Source organism: Homo sapiens, chromosome 15, assembly GCF_000001405.40.
Source record: "Homo sapiens chromosome 15, GRCh38.p14 Primary Assembly".
In the NCBI taxonomy this organism is placed as follows: Eukaryota; Metazoa; Chordata; class Mammalia; order Primates; family Hominidae; genus Homo; species Homo sapiens.
Genome location: NC_000015.10, coordinates 92,448,355 through 92,463,792, shown reverse-complemented (window position 1 = coordinate 92,463,792; position 15,438 = coordinate 92,448,355). Strand labels below are relative to the sequence as shown.

Below are 15,438 nucleotides of genomic sequence, written 5' to 3'. Positions count from 1 at the left end.
AAAGGGGCAGCACTTGACTTGAACTCAGGCCCGTGGACAGCTCAAGCAGGAGCTGGCAACCTTTTTCTGTAAGGGGCTAGATGATCAATAGTTTTGGCTTTTGGGCCACAACAATCCCAATACTACTTGACCGTTGTGTAGCTGTAGCATGAAAGGGCCACAGACAACACACATGGGTGTGGCCAGACTTGGCCCTTGAGCAGCAGTTTGCTGACCTCTGAGAAACCACTGGCTCTTGTGTGGTGCCTGCTGCCTTTCCAAGAGTCCCACAGGGCGTCCCCTCGCGGATCTGCATTCCTGATTCCATCCTTGCCTCCTGAGCGTCTTCAGATTTCCTTGCTGTCCCTGCTGCAGGACCCCCTCTCTGATACCCATCTCTGACCAAGGGTGACTACCCTGGGGGCCCTGGACACTGGTTTGCCATGCAAGGCTGGGTTCTGCCCACTCTCTTTCTTCTAAAGACTGCTCACTACATCTTGGTGTATCCACCTCTGAAACAGAGTCCCCGCTTCCTGCCTCAAGTCGTCTGTTAAAGGGTTACGAGAGGAAACAAAGAGAAGTGAAGAGAGAAGGGTGCAGGGTGCACCTTAGCCAAGAATGCAGTGAGGAAGAGACTATGTGCATTCCACAGACTAAGAAACATGCTCAGAGGGGGGAAGTAACTCAAGACCTGAGTTTTAGTGACAGTTTGGTCACCAACTATCTGTGTGCCTTTGAGCAAGTCACATCTCTCTGCTGAACCTAATGTTTCACATTTATGCAATGATGAGTCACAGTCTAGGTGATCTCCAAGATATCCTCCAGGTCTCAACATTCCAAGAAAATCTAGAACTTTCTCCCAAAGTGGGAAAACATCCATTCTATTTGTCATCCTCTTACGTTCCATCACAGTTATTCTCCCTCTGGGACTCAGAACGCATGCTGATGTGTGGTCTAATGTCTTTATTTCTAGTAAAAGCTTCCACTTACCCTAGGCTGAATCCCTTAAAAGGCAATGCTTATGGCTTGGTGGGAAGACATTTTCCTTACCACAAATTTCTTACCATTGTGTCTCTAGACCAGACACAATTCACATCTTTCTGTCCTCAAGCAAACTCCATGGTTTGCCCTCCCTAACTAAAGTGAAGGCCAGCATGGTTTCTGTTGACATCTCCACAGAGATGCATGTGACTGTATAATCAAACACACCCATTAAATTCAGGCCAGAAGTAAAGACATGTCAGAGAAAACATTTACATATTGCTGAAAGATGAAACTGTTTAATATGATTTAGTGCTTTTAGCTGAAAGGTTGGGGTGGGAGGGACAGGTTTTCTAGAAGCCCAAATACTTCTTTATTTTTGCAAAATTGTTCCTTTTGCAGCTCATAAAAGGAAACCCATAAAACATCCCACAGTGTCGACCTTAAATCCTTTTTGTTTGTGTGTTTGTAGGAGGTGTTAGCCTGTGAATCAGATGAGGTTATAGATTATCAATAACCTATGTAAGTTCAGTGAGTCACCTAATCATGTAACAATTGATGAAATAAAATGCATTTTGAGAATCCTCATTCTCACACCCCCCATCCCGACTATGGGGCTGGGGTGACTTGAATCTCCCCTTCGACATTGCTGATGAAGGCTGTGGTCCTAGGTGGCCAGAATCGGAGTGAACACGATTCTCCCGGGCACGACAGGAGCCTCCTTGGGTGGCCCCTAGACAACCGCGGTTGTTTCATAAGCCTGTCTTTCGAAGACCCCTTTCCTCGCACTTTCTCTGATTTCATCCTGTCTGGGCCAAGAAACTTCCTTGCAGCTGAATTTTTCAACTGGAAACCCAAGGGAGGGACAAAGGCAGACACAGAACAGGGCAATGGCTCTGGCTGGTAACTGCAAACACAGTGCAATTGAAAAATAACAGGAGCAAGTGTTTGTGGACACTGAGATCTTCGTCATTTCTTCCCTGTGCTCTCTCTCAGAAGTCTCTGCAGTGGCAGCCCATCACCGTGATCTGTCCTCCACCTAGTAGCCCCCCAGGCATTTCTCCGAAATCTCTCCCTGCTCCACATACAATCCAAGTTCCATAGTTCAGAAACTCTGCAAGACCTGGCCCGTGCCACCCTCCAGCTTCAGCTCCCACCAACACTTGCACCCTCCCCAGAAGGTCTGGCCCACAGCTACCATGGCACTGCGCTATTTCCTTGTGCCTCCTGCTACCAAGGCTCAGATTGAGATTCCTTTGAGCTTTTGCCCATCTCTGAGCTGTGCTAAGTTTGTCCCTCTGGGCACCCATGGAGACCTGTGCGCCAGGGGCTGCAGTGTCCATGCCTGCCTTACACACTGAGCTCTGGGGTCCTGGAAGGTTATCTCTCCTGCTGTCTCTGTGCTATGGCTCATGACGGCTGAAGAAGTGGATGGTTATTTCAGAATGGGAAAGGATGCTTCCCAGAAGAGATATATATTTTTGGGGCTTTTTCCTCTTATATTTGTGATTCCAGGGGAACACAGCCAATTTTCTATGGGGTGGGGTAGAGGGCTGGGGCGGGGTGGTACCAGTCCCCAAGAAGTTCTGGGAATGTGAGGGGCAGACTATGGGTGGGGTGTCCCACTGGCCACGTACAGAACTGGTGCCACTCTCAAGAACTCCCAAGATGCCTTGGAATTTTTAGGAGGCTGCGTTGTGATCAGGGTTATTAGATAACTGGCCCATGTCTCCACTTTGCTCTGAGCTCTGGGCTAAATGTCTCGTTTGAAAGGCCCATTTCATGCCCCTTTCTCTCTCTCCAAACCTTCCTAACCACACTGCACAGCTCCTCCCTTCCCTCTGTATCACCCAGCTGAGATCTGGCCCTCTCTCAGCATCTTACCCTCACCTACCACTTTACAGCGTGTCCTCGACTCAGGCCCACACTTCAGACCCAGGCTCCACACAGGGCACGAGGATTGAGCAACACACTCAGATGGCAAGGGGAAGAGCCAGGTCCTCCTTTCAGGCCTTCTGACCCCAAGTCCTTGTTCTTTCACCTTCATGAAGCAGACCCAACAGATAGGTGGGTGGCTAGGAATGTGGTTGGTCTAATGTGATTGTCCTGGGACTACCCCACACGGCCCTTTGCTTAGTCATCAGCTAATATGTAGGAGGCAGGAGGAATGGTGCTGGCTCGGGGATGTTTGATGCTGAGCTTGGGGTTTGTTGGATAAGGAGCCCTTGCCTAGACCACCTCGGCAGCATCTACGCTCAACGGAGCTAAGCTTGGGAGGCTTTGAGGGGCAAAGGCAGGAGGACTGTAAAGAGGAGAAGAATCTCAGAAGAGCAGCAGCTGATGCTGAGATCCTCTCACAGATCCCTGCAAAGTATTCATGCACCTTGGCTTAACTACGTCCCATAACAGGGAGCTCACCCCCTCCTAAACTAGCCCATTGCATTTTCAGCTCTAATGCAGAAGTTCTCAACCTACGCCACATACTGGAATCATCTGGAGCTTTAAAAGCTGCCTGGATCTCACTACCATGTGTGGCCTAGACACTGGGATTCTCACAGCCTCCTCCAGTAATTCAAATGTGCAGCTACGCCTAAGAACTCCTGTGATGACTGGTGGGTGGTTCTGCCAAAAGGACCCAAGAATGAGATATATTTAGAGAAAAAGAAGAAGTGTCAGGAATATAGTCATAGAGTTTTAAAGGTGATTGGGACTGGGGAGCTCAGTTAGCTCAGCAGCCTTGCAGGGCACGTGACTGAGCAAGCTGGGATTTGGGACATGTGTAAGAAAAACGAACACCCAGCCTCAGTGTTGTGAAGGCAGTGGGGAATGGTGAGGACTGGGGCATCGTGACGGGTAGCCAGTCTTACTGTTGTTGAGTATGGTGGTCCCAGATCTTCAGATTTTTTCTGTATTAGAAATCAGGATTTTTATGCAAATTCTCCAAATTTTTAAATGTTGGCAACTAATTAAAATTTTACTTTGAGAGGCTGAGGCGGGCGGATCACCTGAGGTCAGGAGTTGGCCTGGCCAACATGGTGAAACCCCGTCTCTACTAAAAATACAAAAATTAGTTGGGCGTGGAGGCATGCACCTGTAATCCCAGCTACTCAGGATGCTGAGGCAGGAGAATCGCTTGACCTGGGAGGCAGAGGTTGCAGTGAAACAAGACTGCGCCATTGCCCTCCAGTCTGGGTGACAAGAGCGAGACTCCATCTCAAAAACAAAACAAAACAACACCATGTGAGGCCTTACTGGGTGATCCCACAGGCCATGTCTGTGTGGTGAACGCATGGGCCTCCTAGACTGAACTTGTCCCCTTCTGTCATTTTAGAAAGGAAAACGCGGGAGTCCAGTGTGACTTGCTTGAGAAGAGACAAGCTTCTCAAACAGCTGGTTAGACAGAGTTTGGATAAAACACAGGCATCTGAGGCTCCTGGTTCTTGAGCATTTTTCACCCCATGGCAACTCCCCAGGCTGGGAATGAGCTGGCTGCAGCTGTGGGCTGACGTTACCCAGGGATCGTCGAGCCACCACGGTGTCCCTGCATGAAACATCACCCCGATGTTTACTTCCTAAGTGAACTCAAGCCCTAACACAGGCCAGATAAACAATGGTTTGTTTATTTTCTGATAGCAAGGTCTTAGTAGGGGAAGGCTTTCAGAAATGAATTTCTTTTCAGGCCATCAATGTTATGACCAGAAAGGGGGAGAGAGGAATCGAATCAGCGATGAAACGTCCAAGTGGCCCATAGGTGCTTCTGAGGTTACTCAGGCGTGTGCTGGGCCTCCACACGTGCTGGGTGCTCGCCTAGATGCCTTTCCCCACTGATCCCTGTGGTGAACTCTCTTTCCCACCTCCAGAAACTAAGCACGTGCATCCTGTCTTCCTGGAAATATTGCCTTTGTTCTACTGTCATCTCCCCAGTCAGACTGTTAACCACCTCCAGATGATTACCATCAGCTTTGTTTCTACTTCTCTTATTGTGCTTAGCAGCCCAGGCTGAAAATTCATTACTATGCTGTTTCATGGCACCTCCTCCTATCAAGGCTCAGATCAACACTCCTTTGCACTTTTGCCCTGTCTCTGGGCAGCTGTGGTCACCCGTGCACCAGTGTCCTTCCCTGGCTCCAGTCTTATGCATTGTGCACACCTGCCTTTCCCGCTGATCTGTGGGCTCCTGGGAAGGTCGTTGGTCCTGCTGCCTCTGTGCTGAGGGCCTCAAGAACTATGACTGCGGAAGAAGTGAATGGTCATTTTAGAGACGGAAGGGATGCTTTCCAGAAGGGGAACATGAAACTGTACTGTGGTCTCCCCAAGCGCAGGGACCACACCTTACACCCCTTTGTAGTAGGATTCAAAGGCATCTTGCTCAGTGCATGCTGGGTCCAAAGCACTGTTGCAGAGACGGCAGCACTCAACAAACATCTCCTGGCATCTCTGGTAACTGGGCTGGGGTCAAGTGACTAGTTCTGGCCCGATAGCCTGCGACAAAGACAATGTGTACTTTCTTGGTTGGTGTTCAAGAGCAGGCTCTCCCACTTCTTCTTCCCCTGCCTTGGAGAACTTCAAAGTCTCCTGGTCAGAAGATGTCAGCCTAAGATGGAAGAATCCTAGATCCCCGAATCCCTGATTGGAAGAGAGCCCCTGCCAGCTCACATCACAGTTTGCGAGTGAGTGAGAAATAAACTTCTGTTGTGCTAAAGTGCTGGAGTCTCAGGGTGTGTTACTGTAGCATAGCCTAGGATTGATTATCCTGACTTCCGTTGCACTCAGCAAACATTTGACTCAAATGGAATTGAAAAATGGGAAGATGTAGGTAAGAAGAAAGGAGGAAGCCAGCAGTGCACACAGCTTTGTAACTGCGGCCAGCTGGGACAGGAATAGAAATGCCCAACCTCTCAGATCTGGGGCCAGGCTTTTCACCCAGAATTGCTAACTGGAAAAGGTGTTAACAGCAAATGAGGCTCCGGAATGAATCCAGAGCTCAGTGGCACAGAGGGACCCACTTATTTCCGATTCTGCCTCCACGGGTAAACAAGAACTCCTGAGCGATGTCTGACAGGGACACGGGAGCGCCACTTAACGAGCAGCTTGTAATAGAAGCTGACTGAGTTATACAGGAACAAATCACTCTCGATTTCCTTTATCTCTCCTCCGTTGCTCTGGCCAATTTAGAGACTGTGTGCATGGCCGACTTGAAGACTATTCCTTTCCTTAGGATAACAGCTGGGTGTTAAAACACAAACTAATTAATTTTGCCTTCCCAAATGAGGTTAGCTGGGTGCATCCGGGACGTTGTATTGACAGTGCACCTTTAATATCCCAGTCTTGAGATTTTAATTAGAAGCCAAAGTAATCTCAAAGAAGGCAGTAATTATTTTTCAAATTGGCTACCCCAAATGCCATGACAATTAAGCACCGTATTTTATGAGCACGGACAGCAATCAATGAGGATTGCCAAAATCATCTCCAAAGCACATTTGTCTTTTTCCCTGGGTTCCTGGGCTGGGTATGTGGAAAGAATAGTGGCTGTCACTGTTGGAAAAGGGGACCAAAAGGGCTTCCTCCAAGAAGCTAAAAGCACTGTGGGATAAAGCTGATGATGTCCCTAAGGAGCAGGAATGCCTCACAGGTGGTCATCAAGGGAGACTCAGTGATGCTTTGTGAACGATCAGCAGCAAAGCTGGGAACAGAACTTTCGGGCTCCTGCTCTCCTGTCCTCTGCATTGGCAGCCTCAGCCGTGATCCAGGGGCCCTACAGCCCACGGCTGTCCTTTCTTTGGGAACACTGTTGAGGCCTCTGGTGTGCTGCAGGATATCTCAGAATGAGACACCATCTCTGCAGTATTGGAGAGCTGAGGACTTCGTCTTAGAATTTGGGGCTGTTGGGAAAGGCTGATCAAGGCATGGGGATGCTGAGTCTAATTCCAGATCCCCAGGCCTCCCTGCCTGCCTAAGCCAACACTCTTGCTCAAGTAAGCCAGGCTAGCCTCAAATATGGACATGCCACTGAAAACTCTCCAGTGACTCCTGGAGTCCACAGCATAAAACCTGATAGCCTCCATCGGGCTTGTGAGGCCCTTGGGATCTGGGCCTGCACATCTCTCCCAGTACCCAGTGTGCACAGCCACACTGCCACGAGGAACATCTTAGTTTCTTCCATGACACGTCCTATGTGGTCCTGGCTAGCAGTCCCTTCTTATGGTCTTGGCTTTGAAGCCACTTCCTGCAGGAAGCCTCCTGGACCTCCCTGGATGGTTTTGTGTCCGGTATGTTGTTCTTCCCCTATCAAGCACCTATCACGCTACACTGGAATTACTTGTTTACTTTTCTTTTCCTTCCCTACAGTTTTAAATTCTATAAGCAAATGTACTGACTTCCTGCTTCTGTATAACTCCAGATCCTAGCATGGCACATATATAAAGTGGGCACCTCACAAATCTTTAATAGAGCAGTGAATGAAAAGCAGCAAGCAGAGGCTAGAGGTTCATTCTGGGGACATTATCAGGAGAGATAAATGACCCCAGCTTCACTGCAAGCCCTTTTAGGCAGCTGCCAGGACTGCACATGGGAAAGGCAGGCTCACACCATCCTAGACAGCAAGTTACCAAAAGAAAGGAGAAAGGTATGGCACTGGGGGTTTTTCCTGCTACATGGCGGGCCCCGCCAGGAGTGGTGAGACTACTGCTCATGCCCAGGTATCATCTCTGTCCCCTGTGGCCCAGCAGGAGGTCCAGCAAGACCATTTCTTGGGGGCTTAAGCCTTCTGGCTGGATTCTGGAGTTTCAATCGATGCCACTCCAAAGAAACAAAATTATATTCAATCTCATTCATAATCAAAGGAATCCAATTTCAAACAACAATCAGATACCACTTTTCATTGGATTGGTAAATATAACTAATGTTGATAATACACCCATTGGTGAGGTTAAGAGAAAACAGGTATTTTCCATAATTGTAGGTGAGGATATGAATCGATACCTACCTCTAGGGAGGGTAATTGGCAGTAACTATAAAAATTAACAATGCAAATTGGCAAAGACTTCTGAAAAGCAAAACCTATAGATGTGCATATGTTTGCAGATATCAGCACAAGGGTGATCGATGTAGCATTGATTATACTGGCAAAAAATTGGAAACACCCTCAATGCCCGCCAATGGCTTCTGCTTACATAAATTATGGTCCAGACACACAGTGGACTGCCAGTCAGCTGTGAAGGAGAATGAGGTGGTGTGTGTCAATAGGGAATACTTTCCAGAATTTAACAAGGTGCAGTACTTAAACCACGTTCCGTAGGTGTAAAAAGGGGTTATTTTTGGAAGGATCCACACACAGAAAGCAGGTTTAACAGCTTGCTTCTGTGGAGGAGGACAGGGGGTGCGGAGCGGAGTTGGCTTTTTACTTTAAATCCTTTAATCCAATTTGGATGTCTTTTCACTATCTGCATTGCTATTTAAAAAAAAAATTGGAGAGAGAGAGAATCCATTACACACAAATGCCGGGAGCCACCTATGCCTTAATATCACAGACGTCCCTCCTTTTCTCTTTCATGGAGCACGCTTCCAAAAAGGTGATAGTTCACCTCACCCTCTGTCAACCGGAGGAGACTGGGACCAGCACAGGGAAGGGACCAGCCCTAGGGACACACTCTCTGGATTGCCATGGTCCTGTCTGGGAGGAGCCACCAGCAACCTGTGCTGGTCTCTCCCTATCTTTTTGCACCTTGCTTACTCTTCTCTCACCTTGGGCCCTCAAGTCTCTGCAGCAGGGCTGGCTTTGCTGACCTGGCCCCTCTGGCCCTGGCCAGAGGCAAGCTGAATCAGTGCCATCCTAAAGCCTTAATTAGGCTCCTGGTGCCTAATTAAGCACCAATTCACAGGCCTTGTCTGCACCCAGGGCTGCTTTCCTGCCTGAGGGGCCACCGTCTCTGTGGGTCGCAGCCTCCTTCGATGTTGTAATTAAATTAGAGCCATTCACCACCAGCTGCCTGAGGCCATACTCAATTGCCTCAGTGTCCTTCCACTCCATTGCTCACCTTCCTAGCCAACAGCCAGCCAGGGCTCCGTGCCACCCCACAGGCCAGCAGAGCCAGGGGCCCCTGGGTGAGCTGCTCAGGTTGGGGCAGCTGAAGCCCGCCTTGTTGGCACCAGAGGCCGGGCCCTGCCAGCTGCTGGTGAGAGCGGAAGGGCAGGCCTTCTGCTTGGGTTTCAGAAACATGCTCCCCTCTCCCTACTCACTGCCTCAGATGGGCAGAAATTTTGTAAGTCCACTGTGGGGGCAGAGACTCAGATGTGTTGAATGAGAGAATCTCAGAGTGGGAAGGGAGGCCATCTAACCCAGCTGTTATGGGTTGAATTTCTCATTTCCCCCAAACTCATATGTTGATGTTTTAACCCCCAGTACCTTGGAATGTGACTGTATTTGGAGGGAGGGTATTCACGGAAGTAATGAAGTTAAAATTAGGTCACTAGGGTGGGCCTTAATCCAATATGACTGATGTCCTTGCAAAGAGGGGGGATTTGGAAACAGGCATACAGGTAGAAGGCCATGGGAACAAGAAGATGGCGATCTGCAAGCCAAGGTGAGAGGCCTGGTGCAGATCCTTCCCTCACAGCCCTCAGATGGGACCAACCACGCTGAACCCTGAGTTTTGAACTTCCAGCCCCCAGAACTGCTAGATAATACATTCTGTCGGTTAAGCCACCCAGTCTGTGAGACGCTGTTACGGTAGCCCTGATTAGCGAGCTAATCTGCCAACTCTGTATGACAGGGATTTCCTCTCCACCACCTCAGTAATGGGGGGTTCGCTGCTGCCTGAATATCTCCAAAGATGCTGAATTCACCACCTCTTAAGAGGCAGCCAAGCCCATTTCAGATGATCTTATTTGTTGGAATATTCTTCCCAGCGTCCGGAAGGAATCTGGCTTCCTCCCCCAACCCTAGTTCTACACCTGGAGCCTCACAGAGCAAATCTATGAGCCAATGGAGGGCAGGAGCCTTGTTCTATTGACTTTTTTATTCCCCCAGCACAGGGCTGGAGCCTACTGGTGCCTAAAGAGTATTTGCTGAGTAAATAAAACTCTCTTGTTCCTTGGAACCTTCTCTCTCAAAACCTCTCAGCTTCCAAATTTCTCTGCCACTGTGGCCCCTCTCTGGCCTGGCACCTAAAGAAAAATGTGATTCTCTAAGTGGGATCTGGCCAGGCAGAGAAAAGCAAGGCCATCGCCAACCTCCCTGACTCTCAGAGATGCTATCCATTCATTGCTGTGACCCAAGACCATGTTATCCTTTTGAGCAACCACACACCCACTGATGGTTGGTGCTGTTCATCTCTCTGCACTTGTATACATGATTTGAACCTAAGTACAGAATCTTGCATTTGTCCATGTCAAACTTTTTCCTCTTTGGTTGAGTTGGTTCTAATTCTGAGACCCCAAATATGGAGAATCCCCCAAAAGTCACATCACCAGTGAATGTGCTAAGCAGACCACTGATGCTGTCATTTAAGTTATTGGTAAAAATGGGGACAGACACCAAGCCCCGTGGCTGGTTCAGAGAGGTCTCTCTGTGGTCCACATTAATCTAATTAGCATCCTTTGGGTGTCAATGGTCAGCACATAGTGGTTAAACTATCTGTCAAGGATACAAGGAGGTCACAGTGGAGATAGTAGAGATCACTGATGCCTATATACGTGGATTTGAATCCCAGCTTCCTTCCTCTCCTCATCTGCAATTTACAGAAGGGCAGGCCTTCTGCTTGGGTTTCAGAAACATGCTCCCCTTTCTCTGCTCACTGCCTCAGATAGGCAGAAATTTCATAAGTACACCGTGCGAGCAGAGACTCAGATGTGTTGAATGAGAGAATCTCAGCGTGGGAAGGGAGGCCATCTAACCCAGCTGTTACGGGTTGAATTTTCCCTTTCCCCCAGACTCATATGTTGATGTTCTGTAAATTCCAATTGGGCAATTTACTTTGCATTTCTGAGCCTTAATTTCCTTATGAGTAGAAAGGAGAGGAAAATAATATCTATCTTATCAGGTTGTTCTGAGAAGTCAACATTTGTCCCCTTCGATTCCCTAAACTGTCCGTCAAGTTGCTTTGTCAAGGTAGCTGACTTACGTCCAGATGTGAAATGACTATACTAATCCCTGGTCTACCTGTCTGCTGCCTGCCTCACAAAGGAACATCAGAACAGTGTGCCCAGGTATCTTCCAGTTCTACTTCTCCATCTTTAAGCATTCATCAGCCATGGGATTGGTAACCTATTTGAAACTCTAGCTTGGTGTTGACATTAAGCTCACCATTGTCCATCCTTTCCTCCTGTTTAGAAAATTGGGACAGAGATTGCCTGTCCCTGATTCCCTTCTCTAATTCTGCATGATTTGGAGAAGATCATGGCCAGCTGCTCAGTGGTCTGACCGCAAGTTTGCCCCTGGGAGGTTCATTGGTTTTGACTTTGTGGGTAGCAGTGGTTCTCAAACATAACGCTGTGCATGCAAATTACTTGGAGCACTGCTGAGACACAGATTGGTGGGCCCCACTCCTAGAGTTTCTGATTCACCAGGTCTGGGGTGGGCCTGAGAATGTGCGTCTCTAACAAGTTCCCAGTGATGCTGATGCTGCTGGTCTGGGGACCATGAATGTAAAGAACCACTGCTTTAGAGCAGTAAAGTGGGACTGTCAGTAAAGAACCCAAAGGCCCCGTTCCCCTATCCAAGTAAAAGACTCATCTTTGCTGAAAAGACAGATATAGGGGTTGAGGAGTTCATTACACATTTGCCCTTTGTAGCCCCTATGCCATCTGCTCCTAGCCCTTTGGTTCTTACTTGAAACATAAAAAGACTTTTCTGTTTTTCTTAATATTTTCATAAACTCAAACCCATCCTGGCCTTGGCCTTCCTGACATGATTCTCTAGGGTGCCATCACTATTTCCTAGTTATGTGTAATAGGGGCAAATGGATGGTGATCAGGAGCAGGGAGGAGACCTGGATCTGTCCCTAACCAGCCGTGGGATCTTGTGCAAGTTACTCCTTGAGGCTCAGTTTTCCTATCTTTAAAATGGGGATAATGGCAGTAGTCCTCTCATGACATGAGATAATGCTACTTGGCATGGCGTGCGGCATGTAAGCGTTCACTATGGTAGTATGTGCCCCTCAGCTGTTTTCCTACATGTCCTGTGGCAAGCCATCGAGAGCAGCATGCAGAATGTGTGACTGTATTTCTGAGCCTTTCTGAGTCACCACCCAAGGATGTCTGCTTTCCTTCTGAAAAATGCCTTTGTTGTGAAGGGGCAGCCAAACAAATTGAGAAGAGCGAAACCAAAGGCACATTCAAGGGCAAGGGCAACCTCAACTGGGGTTTCAGCACAACTGTGTCATGCCCAGGTGCTGGCTGGTGTTTGAGGGGATGCTGAGGAGCTCTGACCTTTCAGCTTGTTCTCCCCGATAAGGTGCTGCCCCAGGCTCTGAACAACTGCAGTGTGTGCACGTGTAGCCTTGATGCGTTGCTGCCTGCCGTGGTCTTCTAACACCTCTTCTCCAGTGTGGCAGCTCCTGGCCCACTCAGCTCATTGCCATCCCTGTCCCTAAATGAGTGCAAATTTCTGCTGCACCTGGTGCACCACATTAGAGCGAGAGAATGCAGTTCAGTTCCTGGTTGTGCCACTTAGATGCTGGGTGGCCTCATACAAATGACCTAACTTGTCTGAGCATCAAGTTCCTCTTTTGCAAAATGAAGGTAACAAGATGAAGGTAACAAGTTAACGTTTGTCCCCTTCAATTCCCTAAACTGTCCGTCAAGTCCAAGTTGCCCATGAAATGCTTTGTCAAGGTAGCTGACTTATGTCCAGATGTGAAATGATTATACTGATCCCTGGTCACTGCCCTAAAAGTGAATTCTCATTTGAAATTCCCACCAGCAAAGCAGAAGGGTTCCTATTTCTCCACATCCTCACCAACACTTGTTATTTTCTGTGTGTGTGTATGTGTGTTTACTAATAGCCATGCTAGAGGGTATGAAGTGATATCTCATTGATATGGTTTGGATCTGTGTCCCCACCAAATCTCATGTTGAATTTTGTAACCCCTAATGTTGGAGGTGGGACCTGGTGGGAGGTGATTAGATCATCAGGGACAGTTTCTTGTGAATGGGTTAGCACCATGCGGTGGATACTGTCCTCATGATAATGAGTGAGTTCTCATAAGATCTGGTTGTTGAAAAGTGTGCAGCACCTCCCTCTCTCTCTTGCTCCTGCCATGTGAGACGCCTCACTCTCCCTTTGCCTTCTGTCAGAACTGGAAGCTTCCTAAGGTCTCCCCAGAAGCTGAAGCCGCTATGATTCCTGGCGAGCCTGCAGAACTGTCAGCCAATTAAACCTCTTTTCTTTATAAATTACCCAATCTCAGGATTTCTTTATAGCAGTGTGAAAACAGACTAATACATTCATGTATTTAATTTGTATTTCCCTCATGATCAGCGGAGCATCTTGCCACGTACTTATTGGCCATTTGTATATTTTCTTTGGAGAAATGTCTATTCCAAGTCTTTTGCCCATTTTCGAATTGAGTTATTTGGGTTTTTTGTTGTTGAGCTGTAAGAGTTCTTCACATATCCTGGATGTTAATCCCTTATCAGGTATAGTATTTGTAAATCTTTTCTCTAATTATATGAGTGCCTTGATAGATTGTCCTTTGATGCACAAATGTTTTACATTTCTAGGTAGTCCAATTTATCTATTTTTTCTTTCATTGCCTGTGCTTTTGGTGTCATACTTAAAAGACCATTGCCAAACACAAGGTGATGAAAACCTTCTCCTAAGTTTTCTTCTAAGAGTGAATTTCTTCTAAGTGAAATGTACAATTAACAATGCTTAAAATGCAGACAACCTACAGAATGGGAGAAAATATTCACAAACTATGCATCCGACAAAGGTCTAATATCCAGAATCTATAGGGAACTTAAACAACTCAACAAGCAAAAGACAACCCCATTAAAAAATCGGCAAAAGACATGAACAGCCACTTCTCAAAAGAAGACAAATAAGTGGCCAACAAATACATGAAAAAATGCTGCTCACCATGAATCATCAGAGAAATGCAAATCAAAACCACAACGAGATACCATCTTATACCAGTCAGAATGGCTATTATTAAAAAGTCAAAAAACAACAGATGTTGGTGAGGATGTGGAGAAAAGAGAATGCTTATATATTGTTGGGATTGTAAATTAGTTCAGCCACTGTGAAAAGCTGTTTGGAGATTTTGCAAGGAAAGTAGAACTACTATTCCACCCAGCAATCCCATTACTGGATGAGTATCCAAAAGAAAACAAATCATTCTACCAAAAGACACATGCACTGGCATGTTCATAGCAGCACTATTCACAATAGCAAGGACATGGAATCAAACTAGGTGCCCAGAAGTGGTGGATTGGATAAAGAAAATGTGGTACATATACACCATGGAATACATCATGGACGCATGGTGTATAAACAATACCCATTCACAAGTAACTGTCCCTGATGATCTAATAACTAGAGGCCGTAATCCTAAGTGAATTAACACAGGAATAGAAAACCAAATGCCACATGTTCTCACTTATAAGTGGGAGCTAAACATTGGGTATTCATGGACATAAAGATGGCAACAGTAGACACTGGAGAAGAAGGGAATGGGGAAAGGGTTGAAAAACTGTTGGGTACTAAGTTTAGTGCCTGGGTGGTGGGATCGTTTGTATCACAAACCTCAGCATCATGCAATATACCCAGGTAACAAACTTGCAGAGGTACCCCCTGAATCTAAAATAAAAGTTGAAAAAGAAAAAAATCATTAAAATCATAAATTTTATGTTATGTATATTTTATCACAATAAAAGTTCATTCACACCCCCCCCCACATACCCTATAAACAGGGGGTTTATTGGGTAACACATCTTAACATAAGGAAACAAGATTATTTTGCAAACTGCAGTCCATTATTGGGACTTCAAGGTGAAGAACTCATGAGTGACTGGTTTAACTTAGTCCACTGCTCTGACTACTACAGAGTCCTGTCTTAAATTCAGCCTATTGCACTCTCCTCCTTGTGGCTCCAGCCTCTGGAACTCTTGAGTCCATAGGACAAGTCTTATGTCTTTCCCACATTGTAGCTCTCCAAGTGGCAGGTGGCAGCTGCCACAATCACAGTAGGCACGATTGATTAATTACATGTGTCTTCTGCGGGGCTCTGGGGGAAGGCAGGTGATACAACCAAGCCAGTCACGGAGCTGGGGTCTGGACCCTTTGGAGGTGTCGCTACTGCCAAAGCCCATGGTTTTGATGCTAGGCCACAGTGCCTCTTGGCCGGATTCCTCCTCAGCCTTCCTCTCTACAATCCCTTGGTCTTTTCTCGTGTGACTTTGTACTGCATCCCTCCCCAGCCCATTCCTCCACTTGCAGTGAACACCAGGTAAGGTCCCACCAAGGCAAGGGCTAATGAA

General features: G+C 47.2%; 1 protein-coding gene across 3 annotated transcripts in view; it reads right to left on the bottom strand.

Moving 5' to 3' along the window:
• The window catches only part of ST8SIA2 (ST8 alpha-N-acetyl-neuraminide alpha-2,8-sialyltransferase 2), a 74,848-nt gene that overhangs the window by 4,936 nt on the left and 54,474 nt on the right, over window positions 1-15,438 (bottom strand). The gene's annotated exons all lie outside the window — the stretch shown is intronic.